At 40.3% G+C, this 20,990-nt stretch overlaps 1 protein-coding gene and 1 long non-coding RNA gene across 6 annotated transcripts in view; one reads left to right on the plus strand and one right to left on the minus strand.

Annotated features, from left to right (window-relative positions):
- SPMIP4 (sperm microtubule inner protein 4) overlaps positions 1–20,990 on the minus strand; it is a 54,583-nt gene that overhangs the window by 26,462 nt on the left and 7,131 nt on the right. For 4 of the 5 annotated variants that reach the window (XM_047419891.1, NM_001371352.1, NM_001371351.1 and 1 more), the window contains 4 exons: positions 16,056–16,232; positions 8,956–9,027; positions 6,268–6,297; positions 2,778–2,959 (listed from right to left, as the gene is read on the minus strand). In XM_047419891.1, the coding sequence (XP_047275847.1) occupies positions 2,778–2,959; positions 6,268–6,297; positions 8,956–9,027; positions 16,056–16,232 (461 nt within the window). Of the gene's footprint in view, positions 1–2,777; positions 2,960–6,267; positions 6,298–8,955; positions 9,028–16,055; positions 16,233–20,990 lie in introns of those variants that run through there. The other variant, XM_011515125.3, reaches the window with a different exon arrangement.
- LOC124901603 (uncharacterized) overlaps positions 1,785–20,990 on the plus strand; it is a 61,442-nt gene continuing 42,236 nt past the window's right edge. Inside the window, exon 1 of the long non-coding RNA XR_007060261.1 lies at positions 1,785–1,834. This is a non-coding gene — a long non-coding RNA (uncharacterized LOC124901603). The remainder of the gene's footprint in view (positions 1,835–20,990) is intronic.

Genomic DNA, 20,990 nt, shown 5'->3' on the forward strand with positions numbered 1-20,990 from the left:
CAAGTTTTCTGAAACTGAGTTAGTACTTGCTTACCAAAAAGGTATTGAAAGGGAACATCTTAAACAATACAGCTTTTTAGATTTTGTTTTATATCTGATAAGCTTTACCAAACAGCATGGCTCGCTTTGCTCTCGTGATAAGTTTCAAGTTAAAGAATGTTCTGAACACCCATCTTCATATGTAATAAGAACAAGGGCTGGTGTTTATTGAACACTTACCATGTGCCAGTCACTGTACTGTTTTATATACATCATCACATGCAATTTTTAACATTACTATAAGAAAGGTACTGTTATTCCAACTTTAGTGAATAAAGAAATTGAAGCGGAGAGAGAATAAGTGATTTGTCCACATCTCAAAGGTAGAATTCAAACTCAGGCAATCTGATTCTAGAGTCTGCACTCTTAACTTCCTAACTTCTTTCCTTCCTTCCTTCCTTCTTTCCTTCCTCCCTCCCTTCCTCTTTCTCTCTCTCTTCCTTTTCCTCCCTCCCTCCCTCCCTTCGTTGTCTCTCTTTTTTTTTTTTTTTGAGACAGAGTCTCTCTGTCACCCAGGCTGGAGTGCAGTGGCATGATCTCAGCTCACTGTAACCTCTGCCTCCTGGGTTCAAGAGATTCTCATGCCTCAGCCTCCCAATTAGCCGGGACTACAGGCATGCACCACCAGGCCTGGCTAATTTTTGTAGTTTTACTAGAGACAGAGTTTTGCCATATTGCCCAGGCTGGTCTCGAACTCCTGGCCTCAAGTGATCTGCCCACTTTGGCCTCCCAAAGTGCTAGGATTACAGGCATGAGCCACCACACCTGGCCCATGCTTCTTAGTTCTAATAAAGAAGAATTAAAATAAGTGGAAGAGTAGAAACCTAATGCTGTACTAGTTCCTGGAAAGATTTTTTTATAAGGGTTGTTAGAGGATGCTCATCTTTTAAAAATTCCCTAATAGTGACTGAATGGTTGGAGAGAGGTAGAGGCTTGGAAGAGCAGGAAATTAAGATGACAACTTGTTTTTTCAGTCCCTTATGTTACTGCACTGAAAAGTGTTTTTATGGGCTGGCCATGGTGGCTCATGCCTGTAATCCCAGCACTTTGTGAGGCTGAGGCGGGCAGATCACTTGACGTCAGGAGTTCGAGACCAGCCTGGCCAACATGGTGAAACCCTGTCTCTACTAAAAATACAAAAACTAGGTGGGTGGGTGGGTGTGGTGGCACGTGCCTATAGTCCCTGCTACTTGGGAGGCTGAGGCAGGAGAATCACTTGGACCCGGGAAGCAGAGGTTCCAGAAAGTGCCACTGCACTCTAGGCCTGGGCAACAGAGCAAGACTCCGTCTCAAAAAAAAAAAAAAGTGTTGTTATGAATTCAACACATATTTCTGTGATTTCTTGCTAACTATGTGTACTTCAGATAATTTCAGAAATTACTGAATTCAGGATTGAGAAAAAGAAATCTACTTTGACAATTTACGTAACAAAGTCATAAAAATTTTACTTGTTTATGTATCATACTTATCATTTCCTTTAGAACATTTATAGTTCTTTTGCATGGCACCATCTCTCCCCACTTCTGCTATAGAGCTAAGCATGGTGCTCGATACTAACAGCCAGTATACTTGATACAGCTTTCACTGCCTTTTTCCAATGCTGCCTAGTCTGAGAGGCAATGGGAAAGTTCAGCATGGTACACACATACTGCAGTCATTATACGCTAGCAGGGTAAGAGAATAACTGCTAACATTTATCTCTGTTATTTGATAAGTAGGTTCTATTAATAATATTCCCATTTTGCAGACTGCGAAGCAGAACAGAGGAGTTCAGAAACTCTCCCATGGACCGCAGGTGAGTAAGTGGCAGATCCAGAATTCTACTCATGCAGTCTGACTCTAGAATCCATGCTCTTACATATTCCACTATGTTAGCTTTCAAAACGTTACTGTCTGCTAATAAGACACCGAGGTTGAGGCTGACGATGGCAATATTCTGTCCTTGCATTTTGGTCCAAATATTCATGTATAGAGGAACTGCAGGATAGGACAATTCTTGAGTCTTTTCTACCTCACCTAAATGCACTCAACAAATATTTGTCTTTGCCTACCATGTATCATTTCTGTCCCTCTCTCAAGTGTTTTCACTCTTTCTCCAGAGGTGGCCTCTCTGTTTACGCACATGTGTAGGACTCCTCAGCAAAGACCGAGGTGTCTAGTGTGGGAGAGATTCGATGACTAGTGTACGGGATTCCTGATAAAACACATTCACAAAGACTCCAAGGTTTGCAGCTGGGAGAACCTGCTCCAGGGTGTTAAGAAGGACTGAACAAACTACTCCCATTGCTTTCTGCATCTTATTTCAATGGGGATCTTTCAATTCTATCACTGCTGCATCCACGTCCAGACTCTGTGATTGATGCAAACACTGTCCCTTGTGCTGATCACCTGGGCTAGGATGAAATTTTTAAAAGCTAAACCGTGAGAGCAGGAAAGAAATAAAAATAGAAAATAGAAGTGGAATAAAAACCACCAATTCTACAACGTTTTGGTTTCTGATTGTAACATGAGAGGCTGTGTCAAGGGGAAAGTTTGGGAGCACCTGCAGAGAGTCTGATTTGATGGGTCCATGGTGGCGCGCCAGCTGATTTGTAAAGTCGCAGCTGTGAACAAGTTTCCTGATCTATTGAGTCACACATTTGTGACTTGAGTCCTTTGTGCTCCTTGCTTTAATTTTATTATTGAAGAAATCCCAATAATAAGAATTAATACAGTTCTGATTCCAGGTCACATTTTACCTCTTGTCTTCAAAACTGTTGAATCATAAGCCTTGGTTGGCACCGTGGGAGGAAAGGGCTGCTGGGTGCGGGCTTTAATGCCCGTGTAGAGGTCCTCAGGTGACGTGAAGGTGGGGAACATGGCGCCGCGACAGATGTGTGTGTGGTAGGGGTGTTCAATTGGATATGGCAAGCAGATCTCTCTAAGATTTATTGAGGAAACAAAACAAAATGAAAAGAACAGAAAGAAGTATGGTTGAAAAAATTAATCATCAAAAATTTATTGGGACCCTTTTTTAAATGGCAGAAACTGTTCTAATGCTGGGGGATAGGACAGTGAGTCAATGTCCCTGTGCTCATGGAATTAGCATTCTCTTGGAATGTATACCACAAAACAGGACATTTTCTTAATTTTGCTAGACAAAACTAAATTTAATTTTAAAATAAATCATGCCCAATTCTTTGTCAGTGAGTAAGTTTCATAACTCGTATAAAAAATATAAAGCAAAAAATAAATGAGTTTTGTGTTTGTAGAATGGTATAGTTGCTTTTAATTACTGTGTCTTATTTTAAGAGGCTCCCAGGAATTGTTTTGGGCATTCTGCTTCAGCAAAGTGATCTCTAACCATCTTTGAATGAACTTTCAACCCAGGCCATCTGTTTCTTTAAGCAATCAATCAACAATCAACAATCAACAAAATATAACCCCTGTTTATATACACAGTACTGCTTCAAAATCAAAAAGCCAAAAACAGCTAGCACACTGAAGGAAAAAATAAACATGTTAAAGAGACCATAGGGATATAATTTTCCTATCATTTGGAGAACTGGCAGAGGTTAAAAAAAAACCATGTGGGAGCTGTCTAAACTAGAAGAAAAGCAAAATTAGGAAGTCCATGGGATAGAGAAATGTTATTCATAACAAGAAAATTAAGCAGAAAAAAGCAAGACCAAGTGTTTATGTGTTGAATTCCTCCCTTCCGCCCTCATCCATATATTGAAATCCTAGTCTCCAGGGCCACATATTGTAACCTTGTATGGAAATAGGGTCATTACAGATATACTTAGTTAAGACCGAGTTATTCCATACTGGAGCAGGGTGGGCCCCTAACCCAAGATGCCTGGTATCCTTTTAGGAAAGGGAAAGTTGGACACAGACAAACACCTGAGGAGGATGCCATGTGAAGATAAGGCAGAGATCGGGATGATGCATCTACAAGCCAAGGAGTGCCAAAGATCACCAGCAAAGCCCAGAAGCCAGGGGAGAGGCACGGGACAGAGTCTCTATCACAGTCCTCAGAAGGAACCAACCCTGCTGAGGTCTTCATCTCAGACTTCCGGCCTCCCACCTTGGAACTTGCCAGGCTACAAGCAGAAAGGTGAATCCAAGAAATATGACCTAACAAAAAGGACTTTACTTTTCAAACTGTTTATGAAGAGAATTTGAAAAGCTCAAGACAAGGGTTCTTCACTTTGTCGTTTTTTAAAAAATAGAAAGACCAAAAAAACCTAGAAGTTAATTTTAATAGCCTTTTGAATAGGTCTTTAGCTGAAACACAATTTTTTAAATGGCAGCTTAATAATTTCTGTTAAGCTTGATAGAGGACTCCTGTGGCACGGAGGATACTGGGTGCTCAGATCTCGGCTTCTAACACCTGTCCCCAATCAAAGGAGTCAGGGTTTCTGGGAGTTATTATTACTATTACTATTATTTTTGAGACAGAGTCTTGCTCTGTCATCCAGGCTGGAGTGCAATGGCAGGATCTCAGCTCACTGCAACCTCCGCCTCCCAGGTTCAAGGGATTCTCCTGCCTCAGCCTCCCAAGTAGCTGGGATTACAGGTGCTCACCACCACACCCAACTAATTTTTTGTATCTGTAGTAGAGATGGGGTTTCACCATGTTGGCCAGGCTGGTCTTGAACTCCTGACCTTGTGATCCACCTGCCTCGGCCTCCCAAAGTGCTGGGATTACAGGCATGAGCCACTGCGCCCGGCCACTCTGGAAGCTATTATATAAGATGAGCCTGGATTATTGCAGAGTGACAGAAAGAAAGGAAATGCTAAAAGGAAAAAAAAAAGAAAGCCAAAACCCCACGATGATGGGGAAATGTCAAAAGAATATAGGAGCGAACTCAAAGAGCTCCTCATTGCCAATCTTAGTAACAAAAGAAAGTGGTATTGGATTGCTACCTAAGTACTAAAGCACAAAATAAATTTCCATGAGTCTATACTGAGAGAAATAAGTGATTGAATAAATAAACAAATGGAGTGGAATCGATACATCTCCCATGTAGAATGCCAAATAATTTATGCAGGTAGTCTGCTTTCAAGAAGGTGGAGTATAAATCCAGATGCCTTAAGTGTGGGCTGCACACAGACACACAGAGAACTTCTTCTAGAGTGCAGTGTGGAAAGGAGGAAAGAAAGAGTGTGTGTGCAGCGGGGAAACCTGCTGAGGACACCTCTGCCGGGCAGTCAGGGTTAACATCACCAGGGATAGATCATGCCAACGGCATGTACCCTTGCTACGATGCGATGAAAACAGAACTTTATCTCTGTGGTCTTCCTTCCACAAATACATCATCCCAGTCTAACCATAAGAAAAATGTCAGTCAAAGCCCAATTTGGGGGCATTCTACAAAATATCTAACCAATAATCCTAAAAATTGTCAAGGTCATTAAAACAAGGGAAGTCTGAGAAACTGTCACAGCCAAGAGGAACCTAAGGAGAGATGGTGACTGAATGTAATGCGGTACTCTGGATGGGATCCTGGGACAGAAGAAGGACATGAAGGAAAAACTGAGGAAATCTGGATAAAGCATGGATTTTGGGTCACAGTGATGCATCAGCAATGTTTCATTAATTGTGACAAATGTGCCATATTAATGTGAGATGTTAACAATAGGGGAAGCTGCGTGTGATGTATATGGGAACTCTCCACACTATCTTCTAATAATTCTATAAACCTAAAATTATACGAAAATAAAACATTTACTAAAAAAGATTTTCAGGGGATATAACAGGAGAGAAATCAAAGTAATGTTACCCTGGACTTGTACCAGCCTTTCCTTCCAACTGTTAAGACATAGTTTTCAGGCCAGGCACTGTGGCTCACGCCTGTGATCCAGTACTTTGGGAGGCCGAGGTGGGCGGATCACTTGAGCCCAGGGGTTCAAGACCAGCCTGGGCAACATAGCAAGAACCCATCTCTACAAAAATTACAAAAATTAGCCAGGCATAGTGGTGCACACCTGTAGTCCCAGCTACTTGGGAGGTGAAGGTGGAAGGATCACCTCATCCCAGGGAGGTCAAGGCTGCAGTGAGCTGTGATGGCACTACTGTACTCCAGCCTGGGCGACAAAGTGAGACTCTGTCTCAAAAAAAAAAAAAAAAAAAAGAAACGTTTTCATGGGAAGTCTCACTTGTTTTCACACTTCTAAGACATAGGAAATGTCAATTTTTTTTTCTTTGATTATAACAGAGAAGGAAAATATAAGTTATTTACTTACCCTACTGTTGAATTAGGCGGCTTGGGTATCCTAGAATAAAAACAGGAAACAAGTTCTAACTTATATTGAGGGCTTTTAAAGGTTTATATCCCTATTAGAAACTTGATTAATGATATAGGCTGGGCATGGTGGCTCATGCCTGTAATCCCAGCACTTTGGGAGGCCAAGGTGGGCGGATCGCTTGAGCTCAGGAGTTCGAGACCAGCCTGGGCAACATACAAAATAGAAAAATACCAAAAATACCAAAAATACAAAAAAAATTAGCTAGGCATGGTGGTGCATGCCTGTAATCCCAGCTACTCAGGATTACCCAGGAGGTGGAGGTTGCTGGGTGACAGAGCAAAAGTCTGTCTCAAAAAAAAAAAAAATAATAATAATGATATACCCCATTTTCAAACTGTAATGTCATTAAGATAATGTTCTTGATTAACTTTCTGGATTCCTGAATATTGACAAGACAGGCATATGTTGTTTCCTTATCTCAGTTGTCTGTTGATTAATTTTTCCATCCATTTATTCTAACCTCACCACTGTTTCTGCATTTTCCATTTGTGGTGAAGATACAAGGGATGACTACTTCTAATGATAAGAGAGCTCTGGTTCTTTCTGACCTTTACTCTCATAGTCAGGCAGTAGCCAGAGTGCTCTGAGGAAGCCTGACGTTATACATGGGGTGCAATTTCATAGCCTAAAGTGACGCGAGTGTGGCCCAGCTGGAGAGGATATTTAAGTACCATGTATGCTTTCTACCTTTGCTCTGTGTTGCTGATCTCTCATGATAGTAAATGTTGCCCGGTCAGCAGAGGGAATAGAACAAAACTGACCAAGTTCCTGGAAGCATGCCTTTTCTGAAGCAGTTCATTCCAAGGCTGTGCATTTACTAATTACTCCGAACCTTGCATGCCAAGAAATAATCCTGTAGCCCTGGAAAAAAGTCGACTAAAGACGGGTAATCATCCACCTACATTGGATTTCAACAATTCGTTTCAGCCTATGCAAATAAAATTCTGAAAGATTCCAGGTGTGAAAAATGAACAGAATGTTATCAATTTGATAGTAAAAGTCAGTAAAATTGAATACACTGTTTAATTTTTTAGATGTTCCTCCATGCTAGCAGATACTCCCTAGAAAGTGGCATGTAAGCCATATAAATTTATTATCCTGTAATGTATTATAAACACCTGACTCTCATGAACTATAAAAGTTTATATCTTTTTAAATTTCAACTCTAAATCTGTGGGCACGAAACTAAAAAAAGCATGTTCTATCTTCCATCAACATCACTGAGTTGGAAAGATGGTGGGGGCACAAAGGGCAGGGAAGTGATGAATATATGAATCCAAGGAATCTAGAGTTGTTATTAATAGATTGGCAACTATATATAATACATTAAGCTAGCATCTAAAATTATTCTTATGTGACAAATTCCACTACAATATTGATAAGCATATGCCTAAAAGCATATGCCATTTTGATTTGATTCGAAATGAAAAAAAAAAATAAATTTAAAATATAAAATCTTTTTTAAAACTTCAAGATCTGAAAAGATAAAATGAAAGTAACAAATGCTGAGACACCTCTTCCTTGACCTAAATCAGCCCATTAATTTTACTGCCACCCTTCACATCTGCTTTGCAAAAATCACCAAAGGGATAAACCGAGACAACCACAAATTTTGTCTTTTTGGCGCCATCTAGTGGCTAACTTCTATATTAAATTTTTACCTATCAACAACTAGTACTTCTTAATAAAGAAGTGATAGTTCCATTATTACTTCTATGCTGTCGTGTTTAATATTTATTTGTTTGTTTGTTTGAGATGGAGTTTTGCTCTTGTCGCCCAGACTAGAGTGCAATGGCGTGATCTCGGCTCACTGCAACCTCCGCCTCCTGGGTTCAAGTGATTCTCCTGCCTCAGCCTCCCTAGTAGCTGGGATTACAGCCGCCTGCCATCACGCCCAGCTAATTTTTATATTTTTAGTAGAGACAGGGTTTCGCCATGTTGGCCAGGCTGGTCTTGAACTCCTGACCTCAGGTGATGCACCCTCCTCAGCCTCCCAAAGTGTTGGGAATTACAGGCATGAGCCACTGTGCCCAGCTGTGTTTTATTTTTATCTAAAAATAAAAATGTATGCTTTTGTAATGTACACGACAAACTATTTAAAAGTGTAACAAAATAATACACTTGAAAAGAATACCTTTAAGTGACGGGTAAATTAACAAGTATGCCTTACGTTAAAAATAATACTTAGGAAGTGTTATTAAGAGTTATTTGTAGATGATAATAAAAAACTTCTATCCTTGTAAAATTCTGGTTGAAAATTTATTGAGGGCCACTATGGCATTTTCTATTGATATTTTAATAAATGTAGCAGATTCTTACTAGGTTGGGTAAGTAGGTCAAAGGCAGGAAAATGGACCAAGATAACTTTTAGGAATCCCTTTGAACATTACTATTCATCAGCTCCTGTTTTTTTTTCTTGATTTCTTTAAACACTAAAAACTATTGGTTTGTTATTTATTTGCTTTTGTTTGTTTGGTCTTGGTTTCTGGCATTGTCTCTATTTTAAAAAAGAAATAATTTGTTTCTCTAAAAGTCCCCATTTGGGGCTTTAAAAATGTCTCATATAACTCATTTCCACTTAAAAATGTTATTTGATTTTATATAAGGAAAAAAACCCAGACTTACAAAGAATCATTTCCATAGACATCACTTTTTTTGTTCTGGGTCAAATAATAAAATTGTTCAACAGGAAGCTTTCTGAAAAGAAAGAAAAGATTAAATTAAACATGTTTTAAAATTAACACAATATAATGGTGAGATAGTAAAAGACAAATAGATTAATAACATATCCACATATATGTAGAAATTCAATATATGAAAAGGTGTCATTTTATTTATTATTATTTTATAATAAATAGAGACGAGGTCTTGCTATGTTGCCCAGACTTATCTTGAACTCCTGGGCTCAAGAGATCCTCCTGCCTTGGCCTCCCAAAGTGCTGGGATTACAGACATGAGCTACTGTGCCTGGCCAAAGGTGTCATTTTAAACCAGGGGAAAAAAGATGTATTTTTCTTTTTTAAAATGTTAGAACTTTTTATTTATTTTATTTATAGATTTTTTTTTTTTTTTTGGTAGAGACAGTCTTGCTATGTTGCCCAGGCTAGTCTCAAACTCCTGGACTCAAATGATTCTCCCGCCTCAGCCTCCCAAAGTGCTGGGATTACAGGCATGAGCCACCATGCCCAGCCAGGATGTATTTTTTAATATAGAAAAAATTCAGTATTCATTTGAAATTATTCAGAAAGATAATTTCAGATGGATTTAAAAATCTAAAGTATTTGGGGAAAAACCTGTACAAAAATTAAAAGAAAATGTATAGGAATATGCTTTTTCTTTGGTGGTAGGAAGGACCTTTAAAACAATAATTCTATTTTAAAAGTCAAAAGCCTGAAAGAAAATTTGATCATCAAATTTAATTATAAGGCTGGGAGTGGTGGCTCACGCCTATAATCTTAGCACTGTGGGAGGCTGAGGTCGGCGGATCACTTGAGGCCAGGAGTTCGAGACTAGCCTGGCCAACACAGTGAAAACCATCTCTACTAAAAATAGAAAAAATTTGCTGGGTGTGGTGGCCCACACCTGTAATCCCAGCTACTCGGGAGGCTGAGGCATGAGAATTGCTTGAACCTGGGAGGCAGAGGTTGCACTGAGCTGAGATCATGCCACTGTACTCCAGCCTGGGCAACAGAGTGAAACTCTGTCTCAAAAAAAAAAAAAAAATTAATTAAAAAAATAAAAAATAAAAAAACTAAAAAACCCAAATTAAATTATCAGACAAAACCGTAGAAGTTCAAATAAAATAAAAATTAGAAGAAATACTTGCAAATATTAATAAAGATAACACATAAAGGATTGTTTCCAGAACATAAAGAACCAACAAGAATCTATAAGTAAAATACAAACAATAAAAATGGGCGAAGAATAAACGTAGAAAAGGAAATGTAGAATGGCCATACCTAAAGGATAAGAAAAGTACTCAACCCAACTAGTAAGCAGAGAAATGCATTCTCATAACCATGATACCCTCTATATTCATTAGATAGGCAAAAACTATACATTTTGATAATATAGATGGCCGGGAGTGTGAGGAAATGAATACTTTTAGACACTACCATGACAATATAAATCATTTGTGCTACATGCACTAAGGTTTAAAAAAATCCCTATACTATGACCCACTTAGGATTTGGCATTTATTTATTTATTTATTTAAATTTTTTTTTGAGATGGAGTCTTGCTCTGTTACCCAGGCTGGAGTGCAATGGCGTGATCTCAGCTCACTGCAACTTCTACCTCCTGGGTTCAAATGATTCTCCCGCCTCAGCCTCCTGAGTAGCTGGGATTACAGGCACCCGCCATCGTGCCCGGCTAATTTCTGTAGAGACAGTTTCACCATGTTGGCCAGGCTGGTCTCCAACTCCTGACCTCAGGTGGTCCGCCCACCTCAGCCTCCCAAAGTGCTGGGATTACAGGCATGAGCCACTGCGCCCAGCTGGATTTGCCTTTTAGAAACCTTTGAGCATGATCTCAAGAAGCCTTGTACAAGGATGCTTTTTAAAGTACGGTTAATGTAAAAAGAGACACAGAGAGAAAAGAATACATGACGGCTAATAATCTATGATGCATCCGTATTGTAGAATACTGTGAGAAATTAAAAACAATGTACCCATTGAAAATATAGTGTCATTTCCTGTATGTGTGGAATCACTGGATACATAGTATTAGGCAATTTTGGTTTTTTTTCTCTCTATAATCTAGAAATAGCCATATGTCTGTAAATGTAGACAAACATAGATCTACATCATTCTTTTTAACTTGCTTTTTCCAGCCTCCGAATGGCCCTGGAGTGTGAGGGTTATTTGTACCCCACAAGAATGCTCACCTAGAGAAACACGCCATTGAGTATGTTCTCAATAATTAGGTAGATAAAACGACCAGCTGTGTGTGTGTCAGGTTTTCTCCAGTCACCCTGGTGCTTGCTCAGTGGCTTCATAACGAAGTGATCATGGCGGCAGCACAGAAATTATCACATATGGACTCAGTGACATGAACTTCCCTCACTAAGACTCACCTGGCTATTGGCAAATTTGAGTTTGCCATCAGAAGTGACCAATCATAAGCACTTGATAGGGTGACCTATCCCTGGATGTACTAGTCAGCCATCTGGTGGTAGGATAATTACATTGAACCCCTTCCATCATCAAAGAGATAACTTATCCTCATAAGATTAGACACTTCTTCAAAATAGGGATTTCCCTTCCCTTCTCACCGTGCCTCTGCAAGTAACATCATCAGTAAACTTACTAAATGTCTCATTCATTGCCATGACGTATTAAACAATATTATTTTTGACTAAGGAACTCAATGTACTGCAAAAGACATTGGGCAACAGTTGGTTGAATTCAAATGATTCACCGTATTGATAGAATGTTAGGTTTTGCCATACTTACCGAACATTAGGATGGCTTACTGAATATTCAATTATGGCTAAGTGTTGTCCTAAAGAGTGTGGGACACGCTCTGAACCAGTGACCAATAAATAGATTCCCCCTTAGCCAGAATGCATGGTCTGAAAACCAAAGAGTGGAAGTGGGAGTGGTGCGTCTTACTGTTATACTTATGGTTACACTTGAGAAAATTTGACTCCCTCCCCAGCTACCTCGAGCTTTGGTGGTTTAGAGGTCAAGGGAGAAATGCTTCCATCAGGGGGTACAACAATGGTTCCAATTGCATTGGAAGCTGAATTGATAATGATGTGGTAATTTTGGGCAGGATGACTGATCCTGAATATCAAGGGCCAGAGGATATTACACAATGATGGGGGAAAGGAGTATTTCTGGAACCTGGGGAACCTTTTGAACACCTAGTATTGTCTTCAGTAGCATGGAGTTAATGAAACACTATAGCAGCCTTACACACAGGCAGAACCACTAAGAGCTAAGATCTCTTAGAACATACTTTTGGGTTGTTCTATCAAGTAACATACTCCTACCAGCTCAGGTATTTGCTGAGGGCAAGGGAACTTGGAATAGGTAGTGAAGGAAGGAAATTATTATTATTTATAAAAGCATTTTTAATTTCAATAGTTTTTGGGGAACAGGTGGTGAATAAATGAATAAATTCTTTACTGGTGATTTCTGAGATTTTGGTGTAACCATCACCCAAGCAGTGTACACTGTACCCAATGTGTAGTCTTTTATCCCTCACCCCTTTCCCAACCTTCCCCCTGAGTCCCCAGAGTCCATTGTATCATTCTTATGCTTTTGTATCCTCATAGCTTAGCTCCAACTTCTAGGTGAGAACATACAATGTCTGATTTTCCATTCCTGAGTTACTTCACTTAGAATAATGGTCTCCAACTCCCTCCAGGTTGCTGTGAATGCCATTATTTCATTTCTTTTTATGGTGAGTAGTATTCCATGGTATATCTATGCCACATTTTCTCCATCTACTCGGTTAATGGGCACTTGGGCTGGTTCCGTATTTTTGCAATTGCGAATTGTGCTGCTATAAACATGTGTGTACAAGTGTCTTTTTCATATAATGACTTCTTTTCTGGAGGAAGGAAATTATAACACCAATGATAGCCTCATGACCAGGTGTGGGAATGAGGACTACAGTCGCTTCTCCTATTTTCTGCCTTGATGTGTCTTATATACTTTTATGTATTTTCTTTTTTCCTCTTCATTTTCCTTATTATTTCATATAGGATGCATTGGTGATGGTTAACTTTATTAGAGAGCATAGGTATAGAATATTGGGACAAGATTACAACTGAACTAGACAGGAGTGGGCACTTGGAATTGGATATAGCAAAGTTGGAAACCACTTTCCTTTGGCCTCTGCTTTTGGGGAGGTGAGTATATTTTCATTTGTATGAAAATTGTTGCTTTTTTGTTTTTTTTAGACGGAGTCTCACTCTGTCGCCCAGGCTGGGGTGCAATGGCACAATCTTGGCTCACTATAACCTCTGCCTCCTGGGTTTAAGTGATTCTCCTGCCTCAGCCTCCTGACCTCATGATCTGCCCACCTTGGCCTCCCAAGGTGCTGGGATTACAGGCGTGAGCCGCCGCGCCTGGCCGCATTTTCTTACATTGAAGCAACGGTCCTCCAACTTTGCTGCACGTTGGAATTATCTGAGGTTATCTTGTTAAAATGCAGATTCTGTTTCAGTAAATCTGGGGTGGAGGCTGAGATGTGGCATTCGCCATTTCCTAGGTGATGCCGATGTACCGTGTATTGAATAGAAAAGCATGCTATTGTTGCTGCTGTTGTTTAGAGTGACAGTCCACTGGCACTCAAGACTGTCATCTTTACAATACCCTCTCTACATTTTGCTAGTTTCCCACATTTGGAACACCCCGCTTCCCAGCCTTCCTAGCAGCCAGGGTGCAAATGTGCCCTAAGTTCTGCCAATCATCCATATCTATACTAGATTTTGAGTTGACTGTGAGTAGCCTGAGAACATGAGCTTCATGAGGGGCATCCAAACCACCAATAAGGTTGCAGGAGAGGTGTCCAGTTAAAGAGGCACTTCTTCCCTGATGAGGCCAGTCCTGGGAGTGAGTCTGGCCACTATTCCTGGATGCCGAACAATGAGCCTATTTCTCTAGGCATCCCACAGTTTTGTCTCATAATCTTGCTCTTTTTTCTTTCTTTCCGTCTTCTTTTTTTTTTTGAGACGGAGTTTCACTCTTGTTGCCCAGGCTGGAGAGCAATGGTTAGTTTAAGAACAGGATTGCCGGGCGTGGTGGCTCACGCCTGTAATCCCAGCACTTTGGAAGGCCCAGGTGGGCGGATCATGAGGTCAGGAGATCGAGACCATCCTGGCTAACACGGTGAAACCCCGTCTCTACTAAAAATACAAAAGATTAGCTGGGCGTGGTGGCGGACGCCTGTAGTCCCAGCTACTCGGGAGGCTGAGGCAGGAGAATGGCATGAACCTGGGAGGCAGAGCTTGCAGTGAGCTGAGATCGTGCCACTGCACTCGAGCCTGGGCAACACAGCAAGACTCTGTCTCAAAAATAAAAACAGGATTGGCCAGGCGCGGTGGCTCATGTCTGTAATCCCAACACTTTGGGAGGCCGAGGCAGGTGGATCACCTGAGGTCGGGAGTTCGAGACCTGCCTGATCCACATGGAGAAACCCCATGTTTTAGTCTCTACTAAAAATACAAAATTAGCTGGGCGTGGTGGCACACGCCTGTAATCCCAGCTAGGCTGGGAGGCTGAGGCAGGAGAATTGCTTGAACTCAGGAAGGGGAGGTTGCAGTGAGCTGAGATCATGCCACTGCACTCCAGCCTGGTCAACAAGAGTGAAACTCCACCTCAAAAAAAAAAATTAAGAGATATGCAAGTGTAACTGGCATTCTAAGTGGAACAAGTATTTTCTCTCTCCTTGTCACATTCAGTAAGAGATCATGCACAAATATCATTTTGAAGTAGATCATCCTTAAGAAACAAGTCTTTGGCTTTCTTTTTACACACTGGAATTCTGTATGAATATTTCTAATTCTTATAAAGTATTGTGCATTTTTTAATAATTAAATTTTGGGAGGGCAGTAGCTGTAAATTCCATACAGAGCTATCTCCCCAGTCTCTAGAACAATGCTTCCTATACTTAAATTACTGAGCAGATAAATGAATAAACAGATGCACAAATAAAATGAACAGATGAAAAGAACTTGGGTGTTGGAGTCAATACATCTGGATTCAAATCCCTATTCCACAACTTTATAATTGTCTGACCCAAGGAAAGGTGCTGAATCTCTTGGGTCTGTTTATTCATTGTAAAACAAGGATGGCAGTATCTGCTTCAGAAAGACATTACAGTTCCATGAGAGCGTGGGCTTAAACACACCTGTTGAGTGAATGAATGAATGTGAGGTCCTCACTATCTATTATTTATGTTGATGTCTGAATCTTTCTAATTGGCCTGTGACTGTCAGGCCTTTTTATTTGTCTGCTTTTTATTGCTTTTCTGAGGCTTTGATAAGGTCATCGGCGGCACATGTCCCTGTTGTTAATGTTTCTCTCTCTTGCTGTGGCTTGTCTGCCTTAATTTATTTCTTTTACCTGCTTTAGAACAAAGAACTAGTTAACTAGAGTGTTCATAAACCAGATAATCAGGATTGTTAGATAAAGCAGGAGGAAGCAGGCTCTGTGCCAAGTGTATGATAGACTCTGCTCTGAGTAAATCCTTAGGAAATATTTAATATAACATTTGCTATTCAGATTTTTTTCTGCTTTCTGTTGAATTTTAATGTGTTTTGAATAGAGTTGCTGAGTAACTTTAAGATTTATAAACTATTATTGAAAGGTTTTATCACCTGAAAACAATGCCCAGTAGATTCTAGTGACTATCAAAAAGACTGACAAATTACAAATCAAAAGTTCCAAAAACCAAGAGCATCTGTACAGATTAGGCCAGGTCTTTGCTCAAACAAAAATATTTAAAATTTAATTGTTTTCTCTCTTTCTATCTCAGGAACATTAAATGAATCAAAATTTCTGATCACAATATTTTAACATCACTAAGGACAGCAAAAACCATTCATTTATTATTATTTCACAATTAGAAATTAATTTTTCATTCTGTGTCTTTTCATAAATAGTAAGAGAAATAAGTTTGAAGACAGATTTAAGCAAACAAAGGACTCACAATGGAAGTAAAGAAAAATGGATAATAAAGACCTTTCTGTGAATGGCAGAAAGTTTATTTACCTTGGCCAGGTTTCTCCACCAAATCCATAATGCTGATGTCCTTTGCCCATGACACGAGGAGGCTCATACTTTGGCCTGTGGTCCTCGGGGAGTGAAATCGGTATTATCCCACCATACTCTCTTTCAGCGCCCCAAGGAAGCCTACATTGTTGAAGTGACTCCCTTAATTCCTGATACCTGTGAAAAAAGAGAGACTTCAAAGAGCCTCAGCAACATAACAGATGCATAAAATTGCATAACAGATTGCATAAAATTCCTACCACTTCATAAGTATTTTCAGATTAAATCTTCAGAACACAGAATTCTCAGTGTCAGGTAGATTATGATACTGGTTATTTAGGCATCATGGGACTGCTGAAAGAATGAGGTTAAATTTCTGAGGACTTACAGATTATCCTTTTTTTGGTCATCAGTTATAGTGTGTTTATTTTTTTCATTTTCGTTTTTTTTTTTTTGAGACAGGTTCTCACTCTGTTGCCCAGGCTGGAGTGCAGTGGCATGATCTTGGCTCACTGCAGCCTCTGCCTCCTGGGTTCAAGCAATTCTCCCACCTCAGCCTCCCGAGTAGCTGACATTACAGGGGCGTGCCATCACACCCGGGTAATTTTTGCATTTTTAGTAGAGACGGGGGTCTCACCATGTCGGCCAGGCTGGTCTCGAACTCCTGACCTCAGGTGATCCACCCGCCTCGGCCTCCCAAAGTGCTTGAGATTACAGGTGTGAGCCACTGCATCTGCCCATGTGTTTATTTTTAAAAACAGGTTTATTGAGATTTAATTCACTTGCCACACAATTCATCGATTTAAAGTGTACAATTCAGGCCAGGTGCAGTGGCTCATGCCTGTAATCCCAGCACTTTGGGAGGCCAAGGCAGGAGGACTGCTTGAGCTCAGGAGTTCAAGACCAGCCTGGGCAACATAGCAAGACCCTGTCTCTATTTTATAAATTTATAATTAATTAAAAAATAAAGTGTATAATTCAATGGCTTTAAAGTTTATTCACAGATAAGTGCGAGCATCCCCACAGTCAACTTTACAGCATTTTCATCATCTCAAGAATACCCTGTATTGCTAAGCCATCATCCCCTATACTCCCCACCCTCACTCTTTCCCTCGGCAACTATTATACTAATCTACTTTCTGTAGATTTGCCTATTCTGGACATTTCCTGTAAGTAGAATAATGTAACACGTGGCCTTTTGTGATGGGCTTCTTTGACTTGGCATAAAGTTTTCAAGGTTCATCCATTTTGTAGTATGTGTCCATACTCCATTCCATTTATTTATTTATTTGTTTTTTTGAGATGGAGTTTCGCTCTTGTTGCCCAGGCTGGAGTGCAATGGCGTGATCTTGGCTCACTGCAGCCTCTACCTCACCTCAGGGTTCAAGTGATTCTCCTGTCTCAGCCTCCCGAGTAGCTGGGATTACAGGTGCCCACCACCACGCCTGGCTAATTTTTTGTATTTTCAGTAGAGACATGGTTTCGCCATGTTGGCCAGGTTGGTTTTGAACTCCTGACCTCAGGTGATCCCCCCTACCTTGGCCTCCCAAAGTGTTAGGATTACAGGCGTGAGTCACTGTGCCCAGCCCTTCATTCCTTTTAATGGCTACGTAATATTCCACTGTATAGATATATCACGTTTTGTTTCACCATTCATCAGTTGATGGACATTTGGGTTATTTTCACCTTTTAACTCTCGTGAATAATACTGCTATGAATATTCATGTTCAAGTTTTGGTTTGAATACCTGTTTTTAATTCTTTGGGGAATTAAATTAGAAGTGGGTCATATGGTGATTCTGTTTAACTTGTTGAGGAACTGCCAAACTGTTTTCTACAGTAGCTGCTCCATTTTACATTCCTACCAACATTGTATGAGGATTCCAGTATCTCCACATCTTTGCCAACACTTGCTATTTTCTGTTAAAATTTAAAAAAATTATTGCCATTCTAGTGGATGTGAAGTGGTATCTAATTGTAGTTTTGATTTGCATTTCCCCAATGACTAATGATGTTGAGCATTTTTTTCCATGTACCTATTGGCAATATCTTTATTGGAGAAATATCTATTCAGATCCTTTGCATTTTTTGTTATTTGTCTTATTTTTGCGTTACAAGAGTTCTTTATATATCCTACATATAAGTCCCTTGTCAGGGATAATAGGCAGATATTTTCTCCTGTTCTGTGCAATTACTTTTTACTTACTTGATAGTGTCCCTTGAAGCAAAAAAGTTTTTTAATTTTGACGAAGTTCACTTGATCTGTTTTTCCTTTTATTGCTTGTGCTTTTGGAGTCATATCTAAGAACACAGTTACAAATCCAAGGCCATAAAGATTTATCGCTATGTTTTCTTCTAAGTATCTTACAGTTTAGCCCTTACGCTTAGGTCTTTGATTCAGGATAAGTTAATTTTGGATACAATATGAGATAAGGGATCTCATGCATCTATTCTTTTGCATGTGGATATCCAGTTGTTCTAGCTCTATTTGTTGAAAATCCTTCTTCCTCATTAAATGGTCTTGGCTAAAGATTATCTTTGGATTTTCAGAAATGGAGAGTATTGTAAAGGAATATTCCTAATCTTGTAAAGGAGCTACTTACCCATAAGTTTTATCTAGGGCTACTATAACAATGGTTCTCAAAGAGTGGTCCCTAGACTAGTTGCATAAGCATCTCCTTAGAGCTTCTTAGAAATGCAAATGCTCAGGATCCATCTCAAAACCTAAGAATCAGAATCTCTGGGGATGGGGTGCAGTAATGTTTTAAGAAGCCCTCCAGGTGATTCTTGTGCATGCTAAAGTTTTAGAAGCACTATTCTATTCAATTGTTACCTTGTAAGTTAATCATGTCTCCAAGTCCCACCCCTTACAACAGTACTATGCAGTGGACTGGCGGTTTCCTAAATTGGTTGGTAGGGCTTATCTAATCTTGAAACTGGTAGCTCAGATGATTTACTCTGCTTTTTCTTAACAAAGGAGTGAAGGGCAGGGATTCTACTGGCTCACTGTTGTAACCTTTACCCCAGTGCCTGGCACACAGGAAGCACTCAAATAATACTATTGAATAAATGAGTAAGGCCAAAGAGATGGATTTGTTTCCTATACTGCTTTCTGTGATAGAGGAATCAAATCTTCTGGTTAGGAACACAGCCTTACAAAAACACCTGCAAATGCATCTGGCAAAAGTTCTGCTTCCTAATTAGGAAGGATTTAATGACTTTCAGTTTCCAGTAATGGCGGCCTAGGTTATTTGGACCAAACTTCCCACTGAAAACAACTAAAAATACTGGGAGGAGAAAAAAAAATCTTAAAAACAACTAGCTTTTTGACAAGACAGAAAGGGATAAGTGCTACATAGAGGGTAAATAGGAACCCAGTGAAGTAAGCAAGCAGGGAAGCCACTTCTGCCCTTAGGGCAGGGCTGATCCTGGCAAATTTACATTTTTGTTTTAAGGTGAGGGATATGGAAATCAGCCAAGTGAGGAAACTAAAGGAGACCATCTACACAAGAAGCTGGGACCTTAAAATGCTTACCCTCTCATGTTCAAGGTGAGTCAGAAGTTAACCAGTTCCCCTGTGGCCCCAGTTTGCATCTACCCTAAACTTAAGCTTGGATTTAAGTGGTCCTGGATTGGTATTATGGTATATACCTATAAGGCACTTTGCAGGACAAACAGGAATCCTTTCAGTAGGAAGGATTCTTGCGGGAAATCACAAGATGTGTTCTAAAGGATGAGTAGGAGTTATCTAGAGGAAACAGAAGAAATACTGTGGCATGCAAGGGAATAGCAGGTAAAAAGGCCTAGAGTTTAATAGACTGGAAAATTCCTGACAGTGTTGACTTCAGTGTAGAATCTCTCTTAGGGAAGAATTACTTTTGTTTGGTAAAATATTCTGTTAAGCCCCTTGCAGACACAGAGACTCTGAAAGTATGGGTGGTGGTAGGAGCTCAAGCAAGCTCAGACTGATTAAACTGCTCTGCAGTGGGAGAAACTTGTTTGTTTGCTCTTGAAAGAGGGAGAGGAGAGGAAAGGGGAGTAAGGGAAGAGGGAGATGAGAGGAGCCAGCAGGATGGTGAGGCTACTGGGGACTGCACTGGTTGAAAACCCAGGGAGAAACCCTTGGCGACAGCTGGTTAAAGACCTTTTAAGAATGTGGAAGTTATGGCTAACAAGGTGTTTTGGTTACATGTAGCATGGCATGGTGTGACTCTCCTTCCTGATCCCCAACAGTTCAGTGAAGTTTACCAGGCTCACAAATGCTCTGCATGGACAAGGTCCTTAGAGAAAAATGAGGGATGACTGAGTTTCACATCTGGGTCAGTGTGTTGTTTTAAGTGGAACCAGGAACCCAAAGTCAGAAGTGACCATGAGACTTTCAAATGCTATCCCTATCCTTGTCCTGGGAACTTGGATAAATTTGGAGGAATTCCACAAGGCATGGAGTAAAGATCTGAGATCTCAGTAGAACTTACCCAGATCTTAGGGGCTGAGAAAATAGAGTTGAATTTTGAACTATATTAGAAGAGTTGATATAGAATTCTAGAACTTGGGGCATGTAGACAAGGGCCATGGTGAGAGGTGGAGCATGAGAGGAAAACAAGGACAGTATCCTGTGGGGCCTTCTAAATCCTCTGGACTATACCCTGAGAACAGTAGGATCCAGTCAGAAACATGGAGGAGAGGAAGGGGGTGGTGGGGTGAAGGGTTGGGGGAGGAGGGCGAGAGAAGGAAGGGGGAAGAAAGTGGGAGAAAAAGGGAGGGAGAGAGAGGGGGAGAGAATGGGAAAGAGAAGGGGAGATAGGTAGGTAGATAGGGAGAGAGAAGGGGAGAGACAGGAAGAGAGAGAGAGGGAAAGAGAAAGAGGTATGGACTGTGGAGCTACTTTTTTCTCTTTACCAGTACAGTGCTTGGCTTAACATAACCCCTCCTCCCC

The sequence above is a fragment of the Homo sapiens genome, chromosome 7, assembly GCF_000001405.40.
Source record: "Homo sapiens chromosome 7, GRCh38.p14 Primary Assembly".
NCBI classification, from domain to species: Eukaryota; Metazoa; Chordata; class Mammalia; order Primates; family Hominidae; genus Homo; species Homo sapiens.